Here is a 23,029-nt window from a genome sequence, read left to right on the forward strand (position 1 = left end):
AGGCATTTTGCCATCAGAACCACTTTTGAAAATGGCAAGAAAAAAATGTGTGTGTGTATATGTGCGTGTATTTTTTTATTTTGTTTGTGCATACATTGGAACCTTCTCATTTGCCTGAGAGATGCAGTGCTTATTTTTAATAGCAGCTGTCAAATTGAGAGGGATTTTTAATGAAATGATTTAAAATATTTTAATTTTTTTTCTTTTTGAGATGGAGTGTCTCTCTGTCACCCAGGCTGGAGTGCAGTGGTGCGACCTCTGCTCACTGCAACCCCTGCCTCCCAGTGTCAAGTGATTCTCCTTCCTCAGCCTTCTGAGTAGCTGAGACCACAGGCACCCGCCATCATGCCCCACTAATTTTCTTTCTGTTTTTACTAGAGACGGGGCTTTCGCCATGTTGGCCAGAGTGGTCTCGAACTCCTGACCTCAAGTGATCTGCCCACCTTGGCCTCCCAAAGTGCTAGGATTACAGGCATGAGCCACCGTGCCTGGCATTCCATTTTAAAGATAGAGACTTCTACAAAGTTAGTGTCTCGCCAGACGCGGTGGCTAATGCCTGTAGTCCCAGCACTTTGGGAGGCTGAGGTGGGCGGATCACCTGAGGTTGGGAGTTCGAGACCAGCCTGACCAACATGGAGAAACCACGTCTCTACTAAAAATTAAAAAAAAAAAAAAAAAAAAAATTAGCCAGGCATCGTGGCGCATGCCTGTAATTCCAGCTACTCAGAAGGCTGAGGCAGGAGAATCGCTTGAACCCGGGAGGCGGAGGTTGTGGTGAGCCAAGATTGCGCCATTGCACTCCAGCCTGGGCAACAAGAGCAAAACTCTGTCTCAAAAATAATAATAATAATAATAAAAGAAAGTTAGTGTCTTGTTGACTGCTCTTTCGAGTCAGGGAAAGATGTTTAGAACAAGCTATATCTTAAAGAGAAAAGGAAGATTCCTTCTGCCCACTGCAATGAAGTTGTCTGGCTTCATTAGCCAGTACATTGGTATATGTGTGTGGAGCCCTCGTGACTTGAAGGGCGTGGCATTCCAGTGTTTTCTGCCACCATTGTTCTTAATTCCTTCTTCCAAATCCCAGCTTCTCCCTCCAAAATAGTTTTAAGACTGACATGCAGAATAAAGTTTCCAAAACTTAAATGAATGGACCAGAAAATCTCAGCCCAGCATCATTGCAAATCAATAAAAACTGCACACTCTCATTTAGAAGATTTATTCTTCCATTTGGTAAGTTATAGGCATTTGTTAGTGTCTCTGTGACGTCGTTAGTGGAAATTGCCTTCTGCTGTTTTCCTTCTGCTTTTTCTGCAGCATCCATTTTTTTTAATGAATGGCATCATTCAATGAAATTGATTGAATTGATTGAGATTTAGGGTTTTGCTTTCTCGTGATGAGTTTTGGGCCCATTTTTCTTATGCAGAAATAAAACCACTGGCTCCTGAAAGTTGTAGGAACTGTGTCCACGTGAGTGCTCAGGGACCTGGGAATGACTTTCTTTTGTCTCTGTCTCCCACAGTTCAGCGTACTCTTTTAGAGAAATAGAAGATTGTCGGCAGAAACAGCCCAGGCGTTGGCAGCAGGGTTAGAACAGCTGCCTGAGGCTCCTCCCTGAAGGACACCTGCCTGAGAGCAGAGATGGAGGCCTTCTGTTCACGGCGGATTCTTTGTTTTAATCTTGCGATGTGCTTTGCTTGTTGCTGGGCGGATGATGTTTACTAACGATGAATTTTACATCCAAAGGGGGATAGGCACTTGGACCCCCATTCTCCAAGGCCCGGGGGGGCGGTTTCCCATGGGATGTGAAAGGCTGGCCATTATTAAGTCCCTGTAACTCAAATGTCAACCCCACCGAGGCACCCCCCCGTCCCCCAGAATCTTGGCTGTTTACAAATCACGTGTCCATCGAGCACGTCTGAAACCCCTGGTAGCCCCGACTTCTTTTTAATTAAAATAAGGTAAGCCCTTCAATTTGTTTCTTCAATATTTCTTTCATTTGTAGGGATATTTGTTTTTCATATCAGACTAATAAAAAGAAATTAGAAACCAAGTACTTTTTTTTTTTTACTTAAATATTTTGCCGTGGGTGGATGTTAAAGAAGGCCGTGGTAATTTACAGGATGGGTTCCAAGTTCTCTTCTTCTGGGGCTTTAAGGCAGATTTCCAGCCTAAATGCTAGCTCTTTATTTCCAAAATGTCCTTGTTGGGCTCTTTTCCTTTCCCGTGTCCTGCCACATCGGGATGGGTACTCTTCTGCACCCAGATACTCCCAGCCAGATACTCTCCTCCATCCAGATACTCTGTTTCCAGATACTCTCCCTGCAGCTAGTTATCCCCTTGAGTCCAGATGCTGCCTGCTTCCAGATACTCCTCTGTATCCAGATACTCCTCTAAATCCAGGTACTCCCTACATCCAGATACTGTACTTCCTAAGATGTACAAGATGTACCGCATTTTCCCAACACTGAAGACTTGACCACAGCTTAAGTGGGTTGGTTAAATACATTATGGCCCAGATTGCAATGGATCTTCTGCCTTGTTAAAAAGAATGAATGAGTCAAGGGTCTTTTTGTTTACTGACACTGCCTAGCATGTATTGAAGCTCAGTAAACACTTGCAGAATAAATCACAGAAAAGCCTCTCTCCTTAAGAAGTTAAGAGATTGGCTCTGATACCAACAACTACCATACTATTCCAAATACTATTATTTCAAAAATTTATAAAGTATTTTATTCTATGTTCTATTAGCCATTAAGTAACTTTTTTTTTTTTTTTTTTGAGACAGAGTCTTGCTCTGTCACCCAGGCTGGAGTGCAGTGGGGCAATCTTGGCTCACTGCAACCTCCGCCTCCTGGGTTCAAGTGATTCTCCTGCCTCAGCCTCCCAAGTAGCTGGGACTACAGGCGTGCACCACCACACCCGGCTAATTTTTCTATTTTTAGTAGAGCCTGGGTTTCACCATGTTGGCCAGGCTGGTCTCAAACTCCTGACCTCAAGTGATCTGCCTGCCAAGGCCTCCAAAAGTGCTGGGATTACAGGTGTGAGCCACTGTGCCTGGCCCAGCCCTTAAGTAACTTTTTAATCATCATTCCCAAAATCATAGGACTTTCTTTACATAGAAGTTCCAAAATAATGAAACAAAAGACTTGTTTTACCCAGGTATTTAATGATCCAACAAGCCGTATAATTTAAACTCTATTTTTCAAGTAACCCACTTTCAATAAAATCATGTTTATTTTTATGTCCATGAGAAATTAAAATCAGTCATCTACAAAGATGGACATCCACCCTCCACAAAAAAATAAGTCTTGTTGACACATTTCTTGGAAGTATAGATTTATTTATAAGTAAGCCCTAATTTGACATATCTAAAAAAATACCTTTTTTTTTTTTTTTTTTTTTTTTTTTTTTTACTATTCTTCTTTTTACTCTTCTGCTTCTTGTTTAATGAGCCATTTCTGTGGATAGTATGATTACAATGAGCCATTTGTGTGGATGGTATGATTATAATACTTACAAAAATGTCAGTGTTATTCATAGAATGACAACAGATTTAATGCATTTTTTCTTTTTTTTATTCTAAAGTTAGTCAATGTGAAGAATCTGACCTCAAAGACAATTCTTGATAATTCATTGGGGAGGACTAGAAACACCACCCTCTAACTTTATAACGTGTCATTGGTCACTCAGCAAAGCGGCCAGGCATGCTGGTTTATCCAGCTTTCAGCCCTTGAAGATTCACCAGACTAAGGATTAAGTGAAAAAGAATATCTGCCACCTACTTCACTGAGGCGTAAACAGTCCCTATAGATCAATGAGAAAAGGACCCAACACCCGTATAAAAACAAAGGGCAATTCACATGTTTTCCAGAAATGGAACGCAGATGATTTTATGAAGATAGCCCATTTGATGTCGTTTTTCAACTAAGAGATTGGCAATAATCAGAAAGTTTGTAGGGCTCTTAGGAAACAGATCTGAGACATCATGTAAGTCCTGGGCATTTGCGAAACTTCTATGGGGAATGGACTGACAGTGTCCTTAAACAATTAAACATGCACATCCGTGGTCGGCCCCCTCAAGGGTGGAGAGGATGAGGCATTTGTGATGTCTCAATACATCCTGGAGAATCTAGAAGGTCACCTCCACACACCTGCACCACAGGTGGCATCCTATAGGTATTTGCTAAAGGAAGCAATGAAAGGGTAAGATAAATAACCAAGAGGTGCCCGCCACTGTGTTCACCCAATTTTACATACTCCAAGTTATCACTAGTGTCAAAATCAGAAGAAATAACTCCAATGCCAGAAAAAGCCAGCTGGCTGTGCCCTTCAATATCCTGAGAATGATGGGATGTGAAAAGGTGTCGAATCCTCAACAGCAGGGAGACTGCTTGGATGACTCCCACCCAGAACTGAAATTGAAGGCGGAGTTTCTGAGCTTAGAAAGGGGAAAGACCCAGCATTTATGACTGACTCCTTCATCCAACCTCTTTCCCCAAATCAGACGATTTTTGACATGGGTATGGTAACACCATACGTTTGCATAGAGAGATTCATGGGAAGCCTAGCTGCTGTGACGTGCAGCAGTCAGTTTTTAACACCATCATCAGTGGCGAAATGAAACATTCCCTTGAAATCGCCTTTCTCTGGATGACTATTTAAACAGCTTCACGTTAGCCTGCCTGTGCGACTGAGGACGTACTGATGATATCCTCATTTTCCGGTGGAGGAAAGTTTATGACGTCAATCCCATTCCGAATATCAGGACTTTAAATCTCTATGATGTTAGCACAAAATGCAAGTGGAGCCCTCTCCAAGCTTTCATAGAGCCATGTATTTTGGAAGCCTTAATGGGGAGACAGTTCTCAATGTGGAAAAGTTGTCATGTATCGCAGAGAAGAGAACAGACCACCATGCCCAGCTAATATTTGTATTTTTAGTAGAGACGGGGTTTCAACATGTTGGCCAGGATGGTCTCGATCTGTTGACCTCGTGATCTGCTCACCTCGACCTACCAAAATGCTGGGATTTCAGGCGTGAGCCACCGCGCTGGGCCCAATACATCTCTTTTCTTAGTTGACTTCTTTTGTATCTCTTCATAGCCTTTTCATATTTTTATATTGATTTGTATCTTTCATTTTTTATATATTTAAACTACCTACTTATGTTAATTCTGTGCCATGGTAACTTCCTTAATTCATGATTCATATGGGCATACATACAGTCATGGATACAACAGGCTTTCGTATATAAAATTATGAAAAAGTTTATTCTTTTAACATTTTGTGGGGATACAACAGGTTTTCATATATAAATCATGAAAAAATGCATCTATTCTTCTAACACTTTGTGAGGATACAACAGGTTTTCATATATAAAATTATGAAAAAAAATTCTTCTAACACCTTTGTGGGGATACAAAAGGTTTTCATATATAAAATCATGAAAAAGGCCGAGTGCGGTGGCTCACGCCTGTAATCCCAGCACTTTGGGAGGCCGAGGCGGCTGGATCAAGAGGTCAGGAGATCGAGACCATCCTGGCCAACATGGTGAAACCCTGTCTCTACTAAAAATACAAAAAATTAGCTGGGCGTGGTGGCACGCACTTGTAATCCCAGCTACTCGGGAGGCTGAGGCAGGAGAATTGCTTGAACCCGGGAGGTGGAGGTTGCAGTGAGCCAAGATCGCGCCACTGCACTCCAGCCTGGCCACAGAGCAAGAGTCCATCTAAAAAAAAAAAAAAAAATCGTGAAAAAAAGTATCTATTCTTCTAACACTTTTGTGAGGGTTACAACAGGTTTTCATCTATAAAATAATGAAAAAATGTATTCCTTTCTTAAGAACATTTGTCAGGAATGGGTATTAAATTCAATCAAGTGTTTTCTTGGGATGCATCATGCTGACTATGGTTTTCTACTTTGACCTGTTAATATGGTGAATTAAATATAATGACATATCATCGATCATCCTTCAATCCAATCTTATTTGGTGTTACACTTTAGTTTTGTTATTTTCTTTAGGATTATTGTGTCAATATTCAAAAGTCAAATTCATGTGTGTTATATGTTTGCATGTAATATATTTCAATATTGTGCTTTCTTCATACATACATTTTGGTAGATTTTCTTCTTTCTCTTGTGGAAAATCTGATTGGCTAAAGTTTTCTGGGCATGGGCTGTGTGTGTGTGTGTGTGTGTGTGTTTTAGAGGGGGCAAAGGGTTTTTGTTTCTTTCTGTTGGAGAGAGATTTATTTATTTAGAGATGGAGTCTCACTCTGTTGCCCAGGCTGGAGTCCAGTGGTGCAATCTTGGCTCACTGCAACCTCCACCTCCCAAGTTCAAGCAATTCTCCTGCCTCAGCCTCCCGAGTAGCTGGGATTACAGGCATATACAAGCACGCTCAGCTAATTTTTGTATTTTTAGTAGAGATGGGGTTTCACCATGTTGGCCAGGCTGGCTCAAACTCCTGACTTCAAGTGATCTGCCTTCCTCGGCCTCCCAAAGTGCTGGGATGACAGGCATGAGTCACTGTACCCGGCTGGGAAATGAATTTTTAAAAAAAAAACTTTATGTATTTCTACTTCTTCATTGGAAAGTCATTCGTATTTACTTAAGTTTTCAAATATCACAGTGCAGATTAGAACAAAGTAGTTGTTTATAATTCTTCCGCATCCTCCAAGTGTATGGAGAAGCTCGCATTCTTCTTGTTTTGTGCTGTCATTATTTTAGTTTGTTATCTTCGTCTACTTTAGTTTTCTCAGATAATGTTTAAATTATTTGGCAAATCATTTCTCAATTTTCAATGCATTAATTTCCTCCACCTGCTTTTCTGGAGTTTCATGTGATACCCACTCTCCCCACACAGGATGACTTCTCGAGTTGAATGTTCATTCCATTTATTTTCATTCTTTCTTGCTTAATGTTGTAAACAGGCGAGGTTCTAACTTTTCATCTGTGTACTACAAGCTCTCAAGTTCTTTCATGGGGAGTTTGTATCATGGTCATTTTCTAGTATTTAGCATTTTCAGCTTTTGTTTCCTGTCAACTCAACATTAAAAGTTTTTTAAAACGTCCGGGTGATATTGTTGCTTTGTTTGCTTTCCTGGTTTCATTATCCATTTTCAATTTTGCTGCTGTGAATTTGCACCGTCTCCTTGGGGAGTGATTTGGCTGTATATTAGTCAGCGTTCTCTAGAGGGACATAACTAATGGAATATATATATACACACAAAGGGGAGTTTATTAAATATTAACTCACACGATCACAAGGTCCCACAATAGGCCATCTGCAGGCTGAGGAGCAAGGAGAGCCAGTCCCAGTCCCAAAACTGAAGAACTTGGAGTCCAGTGTTTGAGGGCAGGAAGCATCCAGCACGGGACAGAGATGTAGGCTGGGAGGGTAGGCCAGTCTCTCTTTTTGCATTTTTTTGCCTGCTTTATATTCTAGCCTTGATGGCAGCTGATTAGATTATGCCCACCCAGATTAAGGGCGGGGGGCCTGCCTTTCCCAGCCCACTGACTCACATGGTAATCTCCTTCGGCAACACCCTCACAGACACACCCAGGATCAATACTTTGTGTCAATCAATCCAATCAGGTTAACAGTCAGTATGAACCATCACAGGCAGTGTCTACAAGCAATGAAACATGCACACACCTTTCTACCTAATTCCTGCCCATTCCTGACCAACGCTCCTAAGAAAGGAATAGATTTGATTTTTTTCTTGATTTTATATCTTAAAAACCTGTTGTATCCATGTCTGTATGTGTGCCAGGGTGAATCACAAAGTCAGGAAGTTAGTGTGACGCAGAATAAGGATATCTTTATTCTTTTATTTTTTATTACTTTTTATTTTGTTTTTGAGACAGAGTCTTACTCTGTCCCCCAGGCTGGAGTGCGGTGGCCTGATCTAAGCTCACTACAACCTCCACCTCTCCGGTTCAAGTGATTCTCCTGCCTCAGCCTCCCAAGTAGCTGGGATTACAGGCACATGCCACCACACCCGGCTAATTTTTGTATTTGTAGTAGAAATGTGGTTTCACCATGTTGGCCAGGCTGGTCTCAAACTCCTGACCTCAGGTGATCCATCCGCCTCGGCCTCCTAAAGTGCTGGGATCGCAGGTGTGAGCCATCATGCGTGGCCTAGAATATTCTTATTTCCAATTTTACAGCAACAGAATGTCTTCTGTCTTGTTTCTACTTTAAAAAAACAGTTTGCTAAAGCTTTCTTTGTAGTGCAGTTGTGAATTTTCAGGAGCATCCCATGAACATTGAAAAGGAGATGCATTCACGCTTTTTAAGGTTATCGAGGATGTGAAAATTAAAGTCGGCTTTGTAAATTCTGCCATGTCTGTGAGCTCCCAGCATTTGATCAGCTGAGGCTTCGAGCGGTGAAGTAGAGTGCTTTTCCCCTAACGTGCTCTGATCTGGAGCCTGCGTGTATTACCGCTGGGCACACGGCCTGCCCTGACCATACTTTAGTGAAGCAGAGGTGATAAAACTGGGTTTCCCAGGACTCCTGCAACACACAGCTTTGATGTCGGCAAACTAGAACCCGGGAGCCAAATCTGCCCACGGTGTGTTTTTGTACAGCTTTCGAGGTAAGAATTTTTTTGTATTATTGTCGTTATCGTTGTTTTGAGATGGCGTCTTACTCCGTCGCCCAGGCTGGAGTCCAGTGGCATGATCTCGGCTCACTGCAACCTCCGCCCCTGGGTTCAAGCGATTCTCCTGCCTCAGCCACCTGAGCAGCTGGGACTACAGGCATGCACCACTACGCCCGGCTACTTTTTGTATTTTCAGTAGAGACAGGGTTTCACCATGTTGGCCAGGTTGGTCTCGAACTCCTGGCCTCAAGTGATCTGCCTGCCTCTGGCTCTCAAAGTCCTGGGATTACAGACATGAGCCACGGTGCCCAGCCAAGAATGGTTTTTACATGTCTGAATAATTTTCAAAACTCCAAAGAACAATAATATTTTGTGATGCATGAAAATTATGTGACACTCAAGTTTTTATGTTCATAAAGTCCACTTGGCGCACAGACATTGGTTACATATTGCAGCAGAATCCATATGGTTTGCAAAGATAAATGCCTTTACTATCTGACCTTCTGCAGAAAAGCTTGTCTACTCTTGCCTCAAGAAGCATGTAAAATACTTACAACACTGGCACGTTAGGCATGCTGGAAATCGTAGCAATTATTTTGCACCTTCACTACATCTGAGAGGATTTCCTGAACTTAACCATTTAACCTAACTCCTCACTACCTTTTGGGAAACATTTTTTTTATTAAGGTGAAATTCACAAATCATAGAATTAACCTTTTTTTTTTTTTTGACCCGGAGTCTCTGTCACCCAGGCTGGCGTGATCTCATCTCACTGCAACCTCTGCTTACCGGGTTCAGGCAATTCTCGTGCCTCAGCCTGCCAAGTAGTTGGGATTACAGGCAGTCACCACCACATCTGGCTAATTTTTGTATTTTTAGTAGAGATGGGTTGCATCATGTTGGCCAGGCTGGTCTTGAACTCCTGACCTTAGGTGATCCACCCGCCTCAGCCTCCCAAAGTGCTGGGATGACAGGAGAATTCACCATTTTAAAGTGAACAATTCAGGTTGCTTGCTGCTTTCACAGTGTTTTGTGGCCACCACTTCTACCTAGTTCCAAGATATTTTCACTGCCCCCAAAAGAAATCCCATTAGCAGCTGTTTTTTATATTGGCTTCCTGGGGCTGTCATAAAAACATGCTTCAAACTAGGTAGGGGGCTTAAAAAACAGACAGTTAAGCTGTCACAGTTCTGGAGCATAGAGGTCTGAAATCAAGGAGCAAACAGGGTGGATTCCTCCCTCCGTCCCTCCTTCCCTCCCTCCCTCCCTCCCTCCCTCCCTCCCTCCCTCCCTCCCTTCCTGCCTTCCCTCCTTCCTTCCTTTCTCTTTCTTCCTTTCCTTACCTTTCCCCTTTCCCTCCCTCCCTCCCTCCCTTCCTTCCTTCCTTCCCTCCTTCCTTCCTTCCTTCCTTCCTTTCCTCCTCCTCCTTCTTCTTTCTTTCTTTCTTCCTTTCTTTCTTCTTTCTCTTTCTTCTCTCTCTCTCGCTCTCTCTCTCTTTCTGAGTCTCACTCTGTTTCTGTTGCCCAGTCTGTAGTGCGGTGGCACAATCTTGGCTCACTGCAACCTCTGCCTCCCGGGTTCAAGCAATTCTCCTGCCTCAGCTTCCCAAGTAGCTGGGATTACAGGCGCGCACCATCGTGCCTAGTTAATTTTTGTATTTTTAGTAGAAACGGGATTTCACCATGTTGGCCAGGCTGGTCTCGAACTACTAATCTCCAGTGATCCGCTCACCTCAGCCACCCAAAGTGCTGGGATTACAGACGTGAGCCACCGGGCCCAGCCAGCAGGGCTGATTTCTTCTGATGCTGTGAGGTAGAATGGATTCCATGCCCCTCCCATTGCGTCCAGTGGTTTGCTGCCAATATCCCTTGGCTTGTAGGTGCATCACCCCAATCTCCCACTTCATGTTCCCAAGGCCTTCTCCCTGTGTGCATGTCAGTGTCCAGATTTCTCTCTTCTTTTAAAATACCAATCATATTGCAGTATGACCTCATCTTAACTAATGATTAGGTTGGTGCAAAAGTAATTGCAGTTTTCACCTTCAAAAGTAATGGCGAGGAGCTGGGCACGCTACCTCACGCCTGTAATCTCAGCACTTCGAGAGGCCGAGGTGGGCGGATCACAAGGTCAGGAGTTCGAGACCAGCCTGGCCAACATGGTGAAACCCCGTCTCTACTAAAAATGCAAAAATTAACCAGGTGTGGTGGTGCATGCCTGTAATTCCAGCTACTCAGGAGGCTGAGGCAGAAGAATCACTTGAGCTCAGGAGGCAGAAGTTGCAGTGAGCTGACATCACGCCACTGCATTCCAGCCTGGGTGACAGAGCAAGCCTGTGTCTCAAAAAAAAAAAAAAAATTAATGGTGAAAACTGCAATTACTTTTGCACCAAAGTAATACATCTGCAAAGATCTTATCTCCAAAGAAAGTCACATTCTGAAGTACTGAAGGGTTGGGCTTCAATATATGAAGTTTGCGGGAGAAAAAATGCAACTCATAATATATCCATTCCCACGTCTTTCCAGCCCCTGGCAACCGGCAATGTGCTTTCTGTCTCTGCAGATTTGCCTGTTCTGGACATTTCAGAGAAATGGAATCCTACACAATGCGTTCTTCTGTGTCTGTTTTCTCTAACTCAGCATCCAGTTTTTGACGTCCATCCACTTTGTAGCAGATGTCACGGTGTCAGTCCTCTTTAGGGTCAGGGGACTTTGAAGGAAATATCTTTCTAAATGCATCAACTGCTTCCTGGACTCTGCCACTCAGAGCTTAGGACTGCACAAGCTAACTGCCTTAGAGCATTTCCCCCATATGCACACACACACACACATGAACACACATGCACACGCACACATGCACACGCACACACGCACACACACACAGACAGACACGTGCACACACACACACACCTGTGTGCACAGGAACTTAATCCATCCAAGTAACTTACCTTTATAAAGATGTTGCAGTCCAGGCGCGATGGCTCACACCTGTAATCCCAGCACTTTGGGAAGCCGAGGCAGGTGGATCACTTGAGGTCAAGAGTTCAAGACCAGCCTGGCCAATGCAGTGAAACCCTGTATCTACTAAAAATACAGAAATTAGCCGGGTGTGGTGTCGGGTGCCTGTAATCCTAGCTACTCGGGTGGCTGAGGCAGGAGAATCACTTGAACCTGAGAGGCGGAGGTTGTAGTGAGTTGAGATCACACCACTGCACTCCAGCCTGGGCAACAGAGTGAGACTCTGTCTCAAAAAAAAAAAAGGAAGATATTTCATAGAAGACAACTCCCAAACACCAGGTCAACAACATGAACAGACTTAACACTCCAGATGCTCAAATTTGCAGAGAGAAAAGTCCAAGGTTTATTTCTCCTTTTGGGTCTGTTTGCCATGAATCCTGCTTCTCTGGGAATTTAGAAGCTGCCCTCATAACTAAGACTGATTTTCCCCTTTCTCCTGCAGTTAATCTATTTACCAGAGGACTTCAAAGCTGTTTGCAAATGGTAACTTTTTAAGTGCTTGCCTACTGCTTCATGGTAGGTAGAGTGTAAGGGTTAACCCACGAGTTGTATATGGATAAATTAGACACACTCACAGATCTGCAGGGAAGAATATAATTAAAACCATTGTGAAAGCAGGAGTCATCATCGAACTCAGCTATCCAGTCATGTTTCTTCTCCAAGGAGATTTCAAACAGAAGATGTAAATTTTGGTAGTTACATAAAATGTCTCAGATTTAAATGAAAGACACAAAAAGCCACATATCTCCTTTTCCTGAACAACCGTCTCTGCTGAAATATTAGTTCTGCCACCTACAAAGACAACTGAAGGCTGAGGATAAAAAATGCCTCTTGGAAGTCACTGAGTTTGTTAGGTATAAAAGCCAAGACTTCAACTGAGGTCTTTGCACTGATGTGTACATTAACCCCACACTGGGTATCACTGTACAATCATGTCCTGCAGGAGGAAGATTACAGGCGGCCAGTGTCTTCTCTGGTTTCTGGGTTGGTGACTTTGAACTTGCTACAGCTCCCACACCCGCAGCGAGCAGAGTTGCCAAGCAAGTGTGCCGGCTTCCAGAAGCCTGAGATGCCCATTGGTGCTTGGGAACCACCCCAGTTTCCCCATCGTCTGTGCTGCTGCAGATTGGTTGGGGCAGCCCGGGGAGGCTGGCTCCGACACACGACTGAGTGTGCCTACACTGGTCCCACAGGTTTTCAGCTGTGGAGTTTGGGATCTGAGCTTGGAGCCCATTTGTTTCTGGCAGTTCCGCTCATATTTTCCACTTGAAGACATCGCCTCCCTTCCTTCCAAGCTGGGAGACCAGAAGTCAACAACAGGAGGGTGGAGAGGCCGGGTCTCACAATCCGCTTGGCTGGGGAGTCCACTGAGGTTCTTGCATCCTGAAGCAAACCATGGAGAGCTGGTGGGGACTTCCCTGTCTTGCGTTCCTGTGTTTTCTAATGCACGCCCGAGGTAAGAGGCATTTTGCTTTGAGGGAGATCTGCCTGGGCATGGATTTTTCTATTCTTGCTTTAAGAAACTCTTTCCAAAGGAGTTGCTATGAAGTGAATGGGGATAATTTGCCCAATGGGATTAGAAAGGAGACTAAGAGCGATGGGTGGCTGAGAGGGGAGGGAGAAGACGGGCTGCTCCCATTTGGAATCTGGGAATTAGATCCAGAAGGGCAGGATGTTAGCTGATACCATCTAGATATTCGCCATATTTTCCTGTTTTGATCCATGTGTCCCAAGCGTTTAAAAAATGACCTATTTAACTCCATGATTCAAGCATGACTGGGTGTGTGTGGAATGTCAGTCATTTCTTTCTGATTTTAAAAATTAGTTCTGACCATTTCCATACAGTAAAAGTAGAGTTGAAACTACTTCATCCCGTGGGGCAGATTACCAGAGATTCGTTTGCCGGAAGGGTTGCATTTATTCAGATTTTTAAATCTTTTCCTAAACACTGTCATTCATTCTTGCAAATTAAAACCACCTGAATTGTTCACATCAAAAACTTCGATATAAACTTGCAGGCTGGCTGTCCCAGATCCAAGATTAGATTTTTCAGTTCCGTACGAGGACCTCTTTAAGAAACTCCAATGAACTCATAAAGTACAGGATTTGAACAACGGTTGAGTAAGTTTCTTTGGTCATTTTCATGTGGCGATTTCAGAGAAGGGAACACCTGGGCGCATCTTAAGAGAGAGAAGTATTTCTGTTAGGAGTTAAAACACATCATTCAGATGTCCCTGTGGCAGCATTTCCTGTTTATCCTATTTAAAGACATGGACGTCATTAAGATTGGAGTTGGTTGTTTATGGGCGGAGGCGGTGTCGGGATGGATAGATCCTGGTGGACATAGTCTAGGATCTGCAGTGAGAATTTTTTATTATTCTGTGCTGTCTTCAGATCTCACCTAGTAAGTGGACAATGTGGCCATGCATTCATTAGCTTCTGTTTACAGGGAGATGTTCAACAGTAAACCCACCTCCCCAGAAAAGTACTTCCAGGAGTTTGTATCATTCACAGTAAGAGCCAAAGGTTAACCATATCCCCTTGGGCAAATCAACTTCTACAAAGTGCGGATACAGACAGTTCCCAACTTACCATGGTTTGACATGATGGTTCAATTTAAGATTTTTCAACTTTACAACGGTGTAAAATTGGTATGCATTCAGTACAAACGAAAACTGTACTTTGAGTACCCATACAACTTTTCTTTTTTTTTTTTGAGATGTCGTGTCGTTTCATTCTGTTGCCCAGGCTGGAGTGCAGTGACACAATCTGAGCTCACTGCAACCTCCACCTCCTACGTTCAAGCAATTCTCCTGCCTCAGCATCTCAAGTAGCTGGGATTATAGGTGCCCACCACCACACCCAGCTAATTTTTCTATTTTTAGTAGAGACTGGGTTTCACCATGTTGGCCAGGCTGGTCTTGAATCTTGACCTCTGGTGATCCACCGGCCTCCCAAAGTGCTGGGATTATAAATGTGAGCCACCATGCCCGGCCCCATACAGCCATTCTGTTTTTCACTTTCAGTACAATGTTCAATAAATTATGTGAGGTATGCAACACCTCATTATAAAGTTGACTGTGTGCTAGATGATTTGTCCATCCGTTGGCTGATGAAAAGTGTTCTGAGCACTCTGAAGGCAGGTAAGGCTAAGCTATGGCGTTTGGTAGGGTAGTTGTATTAAATGCACTTACAACATAAAATATTTTCTTTTTTTTAATGTGTTTTAATTTTTTTGAGGGAGGGGCCCACTGTGTCACCTAGACTGGAGTGCGGTGGTTCCATCATAGCTCACTGCAGTCTTCACCCCAGGGGTTCGAACAAACCTCCCACCTCAGCCTCCAGAGTAGCTGGGACTACAGGCATTTGCCGCTGTGCCTGACTAGTTTTTAAAACTTTTTGTAGAGACGGGATCTCACTATGTTGTCCAGGCTGGACTTGAACATCTCAGCTCAAACGATCCTCCTGCCTTGGCCTCCCCAAATCTTGAGATTACAGGCATCAGCCACCATACCCTGTCCTGCGCTAAATTCTTTGACTGACGGCAGCACTTCCTATGCACTAGGCATGGATTAACTTAGTTGATTGTCCCTCAGCCCTATGACGGGAGTGTCGTGCCTGATGTCATTTTACAGATGGTGTATTAGTCAGGGTTCTCTAGAGGGACAGAACTAATGCAATAGAAATATATATAGAGAGAGGAGTTTATTAAGTATTAACTCATATGATCACAAGGTCCCACAACAGGCCGTCTGCAGGCTGAGGAGCAAGGAGAGCCAGTCCAGGTTCCAAAACTGAAGAACTTGGAGTCTGATGTTCCAGCATCCACCATGGGAGAAAGATGTAGGCCAGAAGACTAGGCCAGTGTCTCTTTTCACATTTTTCTGCCTGCTTATATTCTAGCCACAGCGGCAGCTGATTAGATGGTGCCCACCCAAATTGAGGGTGGGTCCGCCCCTTCCAGTCCACTGACTCAAATGTTAATCTCCTTTGGCAACACCCTCACAGACACACCCAGGATCAATACTTTGTATCCTTCAATCCAATCAAGTTGACATTCAGTATTAACCGTCACAGATATGGGTAAACTGAGGCACTGAGGATTTGGACGGGGGCAGCCGGCAGCGGAATCTGAGCTGTCCTGTAGCTCTGTCTGGGAAGACTCCAGTGAGCATCCCGCTCTATCCCAAGCCTTGTCTTCTGAAAATCAGAATCATCCCTCCTCCAAGTGTTACAGGAAAGGGGTCCGGATCCAGACGCCAAGACGGGGTTCTTGGATCTCGCTCCATAAAGAATTCAGGGCTAGTCTGTAAACTGAAAACAAGTTTATTAGGAAAGTAAAGGAATAAAAGAATGGCTATTCCGCAGAGCAGCTCTTAGAGCTACTGCTTGCCCATTTTTATGGTTATTTCTTAGTGATATGCTAAGCAAGGCTTGGATTATTCATGCCTCCCCTTTTTAGACCATGCAGAGTTCCTGACATTGCCGTGGTATTTGTAATTGTCATGGTGCTGGTGGGAGGGTAACACTGAGGACAACCAGAGGCCACTCTCATCACCATCTGGGTTTTGGTGGGTTCTGGCCGGCTTCTTTACTACCACCTGTTTTATCAGCTAGGTCTTTATGACCTGTATCTTGTGCAGACCTTCAGTCTCATCCTGTGACTCAGAATGCCTTAATCATCTGGGAATGCAGCCCAGTAGGTTTCAGCCTTCTATTGCCCAGCCCCTATTCAAGATGGAGTCGCTCTGGTTCCAGTGCCTCTGACACAAGTAGCGCCCCTTAGGGAGGTTACAGGAGGGACTGGAAGGAAAGTGAGGTCTGGATCAGGGCCCTTCTGTGTAAATAAGATGATGTACATGCAGCAGCTGGGTATGTCCTGGGTAAAAATTAGTTAAATGCACAGACGACCCTGTTTCATCCCCAGCCATCACCAGCTGGAAATGGGGCACATTCCCAAGATCCCAAAAACATTCTGCAAGGCTGGTGCGATGATTGCTATGAAGTACTTAAGAAAACAGATTATTGTTCAGGATCAATAGCTAATGCATGTGGGGCTTAATGCCTCTGTGACGGGTTGATGGGTGCAGCAAACCACCATGGCACATGTTTACCTATGTAACAAACCTGCACGTCCTGCACACGTATCCCGGAACTTAAAATAAAATAAAGAAGACAGAATATTGTTAATGGTTAATATGCTGTAAATCATTATGATGATTACTAAATTATCAATACAAAAGAAGATAATAGCAAGACGGCCATATTCCTAATAGAGGTTGACATTTTAGCAGCCCTACATTTCCACTGTATTTAATTAGTATTTGCCGTCCAATCCAGAGGGGCATGAAGGAGCACGAGACAAAATCAGGTCTTCTAACAGCTGAGAAGAAGCTGAGAACCAGAAGTGGAAACCCCAAAGGGCAGTGTATGAAATGTCATTTATTGAGGGGAAAAAAAAGAAAATGACAGAGTTCGATAGAAGAAATAAGCACTAGTGTTTACATAATCAGTAGGGTGACTTTAGTTTACAATAATCTATTGTAGACTTCAAAATAGAAGAGTCGGAATGGTTCTAATATGAAGGAAAGACAAATATTTAAGGTGGATGGATATCCCAAGTAGGCTGATTTGATCTTTACAAATTATATAAATGTATTAAATTATTACATGTACCCTGAAGCTATGTACATCTGTTATGCATCAATTAAAAATAAATTAAAAGAAAAGGATATATGTCCAGGATATACACCAGCTAAGACAGTCTCTTCCAAGTCTATTGTACATTATTCCCTTATCAGATTTGAAACCTGAGAGTTCCCTGACGCCCCCTCACAGGATGTGCAACAGGGGTGTGTTTGATCTGTTTGACCGCCACACACTGAAACCTCTTATGGGAGGCAGAACTTGCAGACGGGCAGGTGCAGCAGCTAGTGTGAGTGTTTTTGAGCTCTGGGCCCCACGGTAGCATCTAGGGATGGGTGCCTGCGACCCCCGAAGCCCTAGTGGGCGTTTTACGGTGCTCTTTTAGCTCTGCCATCCGCACGTGGCTTAAGTGTTAGCCAGCTCAGTGCCGTCTTGGTACCCGGGTTCTTGTCCAGCATCCAGGAAGAATCAGGTCACACGAACCAGCTGAAGGATGGTAAATGCAGAAGAGTTTGTTGCCAGATGGAGATGACTCTTAGCGGGATGGTTGGGGAGTTGGAAAGGGGATGGAGTGGGCAGATGATCTTCCCCTGGAGTTTGGTTGTCCTGCGGCTAATCTCTTCTCCAACCATCCCCAGCTGAACACCTCTCAGTGTTCAGATGTTCCTTCTCTTCTCTCCTTCTCTGCTGTGCTGCTCTTTGGTTCCTCACCTTTTCTGCTCATCTGTCTGTCTGCACATGGGGTCTGGGGTTTGGGGTTATATGGGTACAGGACAGGCAGGCATGGTGGGTCAAAAGGCAACATTTGGGCACAAAAATAGGAATGCCTGTTTCCATTTAGGACTACAGGTTTCCAGGCTTGAGGGCGGGGCCTTTGCTGGGGAACTGCCCTCTTGTATCTAGTATCTTCAGGCCTCCTGTCCGTATCAACATGACTTAAAATGTGTGTGCATTTGTATAGAGCTGTGTTTCTATGTAAAGACTAAAAAAGACTTATGAAAAAGATCACTCAGAGCTCTGAACAGTAGCAAATCATATTTCTGAGTACTTCCTGTTGAGTAAAGGTAAGTGAGGATTGTGCCAAGTATTTTTCATTACTTGCTGCATTAGGTTGTCACAGGCTGTTTAGTTTACTTCTAAAAATTGGGATATGGGGAAGTTGTGGGCCGGGCACAGTGGCTCATGTTTGTAATCCCAGCAGTTTGGGAGGCCGAGTTGGGCAGATCACTTGAGGTCAGGAGTTTGAGACCAGCCTGGCCAACATGGCAGAACGCTGTTTCTACTAAAAATACAAAAATTAGCCAGGCATGGTGGGGGGTGTCTGTAATCCCAGCTATTCAGGAGGCTGAGACAGGAGAATCGCTTGAACCCAGGAGGCGGAGGTTGCAATCAGCTGAGATCATACCACTGCACTCCAGCCTGGGTGACAGAGTAAGACTCCATCTCAAAAAAAAAAAAAAAAAAAAAAAAAGGAAAAAAAAGTTATGATGATCGCCTAAGGTGAGAAGCCATACCACGCCAGCGTACAGAACCCCAAACCACGCCAGCCTCATCCTACGTCTCAGTTATATTTTTCTTGACTTGCTTCCATTCTGGTGCCCCCTCTCTCCCTGCCCCCTCCTTCCCTGCAAAGGATCTAGCAAATTTGTAGGTGTGGAAAGGGAACCACAAATGGGTCATTTCCCTGCCATTGTCACCTGGAGCGTGTAGCCATTTCGTGCAGTGATTCTCTGTCTTTGATGTGCAGGTCATCACCTTGAAGGGAGGAGGTATTAAAAGCGCCACCCAGTCCCCACCCACTGAGGTCTTTATTCAGCAGGTGTGGGTCAGGCATTTGGGAGCTGGGAGACCTGCATTTTAAGAAGCACCCCAGGTGATGCCCAAGCGGAGCTATGTGCTTCTTTTAAGAGATGATGACTCCGTGTGCAACCGTGTGGTTACCTTTGCGTGGAGTCTCATGGATCACTGCCACAGTGGGGAGGCAGCTCTGTGCTCTCCAATTCGGTGATGTGTCATTCACTCTATGCAGGCCCAAGGTGACACCCCCAGATACAGGTGCTGCCATCCAGCCATTCTCAACCAGGGATCATGTTTATCCACAGGGACACTTGTCGATATCTTGAGGCTTTGCGTTGCCACACTGATAGCAGGGATGCTGCTGGCATCTAGTGGGTGGAGCCCAGGGATGCTGGTCAACACCCTGCAGTGCACAGGACGCCCCACAGAAAAGAATGATCCAACCTCATATGTCAGTAGGACTGAGGCTGAGGAATCTTGCCTTAGCATGAGAGATCCTGTCTGTCTGTCTGCCTATCTCTAGATCTATCTATCGTCTACCATTATCCATCCACCTATCTGTCTCTATTATATACACCTATCATCTACCTAATCTATCTGTCAATGATTTTCTGTCATCTATTATCTATCTATTTATCTATCTTTCTACCTACTTCTCTATCCAACTCTCATCTCTATTACCTATCTATGTATCTATGTATCTATCTATGTATCTATCTATCCATCCGTCTATCAATCTATCTATTTATCTAGCAGTCCATCATCTATCTGTGACATTCTTCTGCTACCCAGGGATAATTGTGTTCCTCGAGTAACACTTGGCAATGTCTGGAAACAATTTTGGTAGTTGCACTGGGATGGGTGTTCTCGCATTCGGTGGGTGGAGACAAGGCATGTTGTTCAACACCTTACAGTGCACAGGACAGCACCCATGACAGAGAGTTACGCAGCCCCAAGTGTCATTAGTGCTGTAGTGGAGAACCTGCTGTTAGTTATAACTTCTAACCCTGCGAAAGGGGACAGGTTGGAAATGTCATGCTCCTGTACGCTGTAGGAGGTATAGTTGTCTGGAGGTATAGTTGTCTGGAGGTATAGTTGTCCTGTACAGTATAGGAGGTACGGTATAGTTGTCTGGGCATTTCTAAATGGATCTTACTGTCAGAATGCACTTGTAGGATCTTTTCCCCATAGGGCATAGAGCCATGGCACATATAACCCAGAAGCTGAGCATTCCATAGTTTCCTTCTTGGAGTAGGAAGGGGCTGTGCAGAAAAAGTCTATGGCTGTTTGGCACCTGAGTGTGAAGACATCTGGCAAATATTGGAGCCAATTAGCAGACAAGCACGGAGTCCAAGAAATGTCTCCCCTTTCTTGGATAACAACTGACCCTTCCTGTGAGGGCCCCCCTCATTCCAGCCATTTTCCTCTTTCTCATTGGCACACAGGGGGTAGAAAAGTGGGGTTCTGCCTGCAGGTGGGGCTCTGCCAGACACGGCAAAGCTCCTGGGGATTCCCCCGATGGATCAGGGGCCAGAGGCACCTAAACCTGTGAGCGATGTGTGCAGCCACGGTGCTGAGGCTGGGAAACTCTGCTGTAGTCTGTGAATCCCAACCTCTGGGAATGCTTCAGAATCAGATTCTGGGCTGATCTGGAATCTGCATGTGGCTGGATTCTGGTCTGATCCAGGCATGGAGGCGTGTGCCTGTAATCCCAGCTACTCGGGAGGCTGAGGTGAGAGAACTGCTTGAACCTGGGAGGCAGAGGTTGCAGTGAGCTGAGATTGTGCCATTGCACTGCAGTGAGCTGAGATTGCACCACTGCACTCCAGCCTGGGCAACAGAGCGAGACTCTGTCTCAGAAAAAAAAAATTAAGGAAGAGTATTATTGAGAGCGTAGGCCAGGCGCGTGATGTTGCTGAGATGAAACTGTCTCTCTAGATTCCCAAACCCTGGTTATCTCCACTGAACCAGGCTGTCCAATGGCATCCCCATTGTAATTGACCATGTTCCATGGTTTAAATCTGTTGTGAGCCAAATTGTACCCTCCTCAATTTTACAAATGGAAGTCCTAACCTGCAGGACCTCCAATTGTGACTGTGTTTGGAGATGGGGTCTTTAAAGAGGTGATTCAGGCTGGGTGCGGTGGCTCATGCCTGTAATCCCAGCACTTTGGGAGGCTGAGGCTGGCAGATCATGAGGTCAGGAGATGGAGATCATCCTGGCTAACACGGTGAAACCCCATCTCTACTAAAAATACAAAAAAAAAAAAAAAATTAGCTGGGCGTGCCTGTAGTCCCAGCTACTTGGGAGGCTGAGGCAGGAGAATCGCTTGAACCTGGGAGGTGGAGGTTGCAGTGAGCCGAGATCGCACTACTGCACTCCAGCCTGGGCGACAGAGCGAGGCTCTGTCTCAAAAAAAAAAAAAAAAAAAAAAGAGGTGATTCAGGCAAAATGAGGTCACTAGGTTGGGCCCTGATCCAACAGGACTGCAGACCTTATAAAAAGACGAGATGAAGACACAGACATGCACACAGGGACGATCCTGTGAGGACTTAGGGAAAAGATGGCATCCACAAGCCAAGGAGAGAGGTCTCAGTAGGAACCAGCCCTGCCCACACCTTGATCTCAGACTTCCAGCTTCCAGGCCTGTGGGAGAATCAATGTCCACTGTTTAAACAGCCTGGTCTGTGGGACTTTGCTATGGCAGCAGCCACAGTGGACAAACACATTTGTATTCCAATGAATGAGTTACCTCTGTAAGGGTTGAATTGTGCGTCTCCAAAATTTATATATTGAAGGCCTAATCCCTAGGACCTCAGAACATGACTGTGTTTGGTGATGGGGTCTTTAAAGAGGTGAGAAGGGTACAATGAGCTCAGGAGGTTGTGCCCTGATCCAATAGGACTGGGGTCCTTATAAAAAGAGTAGATAAGGACACAGACACACACAGAGGGATGACCCTGTAAAGACACAGGGAGAAGAGGGTGTCTACAAGTCAAGAAGAGAGGCCTCAGGAGGAACCAGCTCTGCCCATGCCTTGATCTCAGAATTCCAGCCTCCAGGACTGTGGGAGAATAAAAGTCTGTGGTTTGTAAGCCACCCAGCCTATGGTATTCTGTGATAGCAGCCTGCAATGGACTAAGACATCTCATAAGAAGAGCAGATGAGGACACAGACATGCACATAGAGGGATGACCACGTGGGGACACAGGGAGAAGATGGTGTCTACAAGCCCAGGACAGAGGCCTCAGGAGGAAACAGCCTTGCCCATATCCTGATCTCAAGACGTCCAGCCTCCAGGGCTGTGGGAGAATCAATGTCTGTTGCTTATAAGCCACCCAGTCTATGGTATGCTGTGACAGCAGCCTGAAATGGACTAAGACACCTCATAAGAAGAGGAGATGAGGACACAGACGCACACAGAGGGATGACCACGTGGGGACTCAGGGAGAAGACGGCATCTACAAGCCCAGGAGAGAGGACTCAGGAGGAACCGGCCCTGCCCACACCTTGATCTCAGACTTCCAGCTTCCAGGACTGTGGGAGAATCAAGGTTGTTGTTTAAGCTGCCCAGTCTTTGGGATTGCATTGTAACAACTCTGGGAAGCCATTACCAAGTCTCTGTCCTGCAAAGTGAGATCCATGGATCTGCAGCCTTGACATCCCCTGGGAGCTGATGAGAAACACTGTGTCTTGGGCCCAGACAGACCTGCTGAAGCATAGTCTGTGTGTCACCCATGTCCTGAGGGATCCGTGTGCATGCCACTCTGGGAAGACGGGTTTATAACACACCGTCAACCAGTGCCTCATTGCATGGTCTGCGGTATTTTCCTCGAGTTTTCCTTGCACCAAAGATGTCTTGCTTTTTGTGATGAATGATCATTCCTTCCTCTTCGACGACAAAATACTTCGATCTCTGCAGACACCGTCTGTTGTGTTACAGACAGACACTGAGGCCTGAATTCT

The 23,029-nt window shown here is 44.9% G+C and overlaps 2 protein-coding genes across 12 annotated transcripts in view; both read left to right on the forward strand.

The window, feature by feature from the left end:
* The window catches only part of CD99 (CD99 molecule (Xg blood group)), a 50,015-nt gene extending 47,965 nt beyond the window's left edge, over positions 1–2,050 (forward strand). For all 6 annotated transcript variants that reach the window (NR_135623.2, NM_002414.5, NM_001321368.2 and 3 more), the window contains one exon: positions 1,520–2,050. Coding sequence is in view for 5 of the 6 variants with exons in the window: in NM_002414.5 (NP_002405.1) it covers positions 1,520–1,545 (26 nt within the window). In the remaining variant the exon portion in view is untranslated. The remainder of the gene's footprint in view (positions 1–1,519) is intronic.
* The window catches only part of XG (Xg glycoprotein (Xg blood group)), a 64,461-nt gene continuing 54,212 nt past the window's right edge, over positions 12,781–23,029 (forward strand). For all 6 annotated transcript variants that reach the window (XM_005274587.5, NM_001141920.2, XM_011545575.4 and 3 more), the window contains exon 1: positions 12,781–13,076. In XM_005274587.5, coding sequence (XP_005274644.1) covers positions 13,016–13,076 — 61 coding nt within the window. In that variant the 5' untranslated portion in view covers positions 12,781–13,015. The remainder of the gene's footprint in view (positions 13,077–23,029) is intronic.

Source organism: Homo sapiens, chromosome X (genome assembly GCF_000001405.40).
Source record: "Homo sapiens chromosome X, GRCh38.p14 Primary Assembly".
In the NCBI taxonomy this organism is placed as follows: domain Eukaryota; kingdom Metazoa; phylum Chordata; class Mammalia; order Primates; family Hominidae; genus Homo; species Homo sapiens.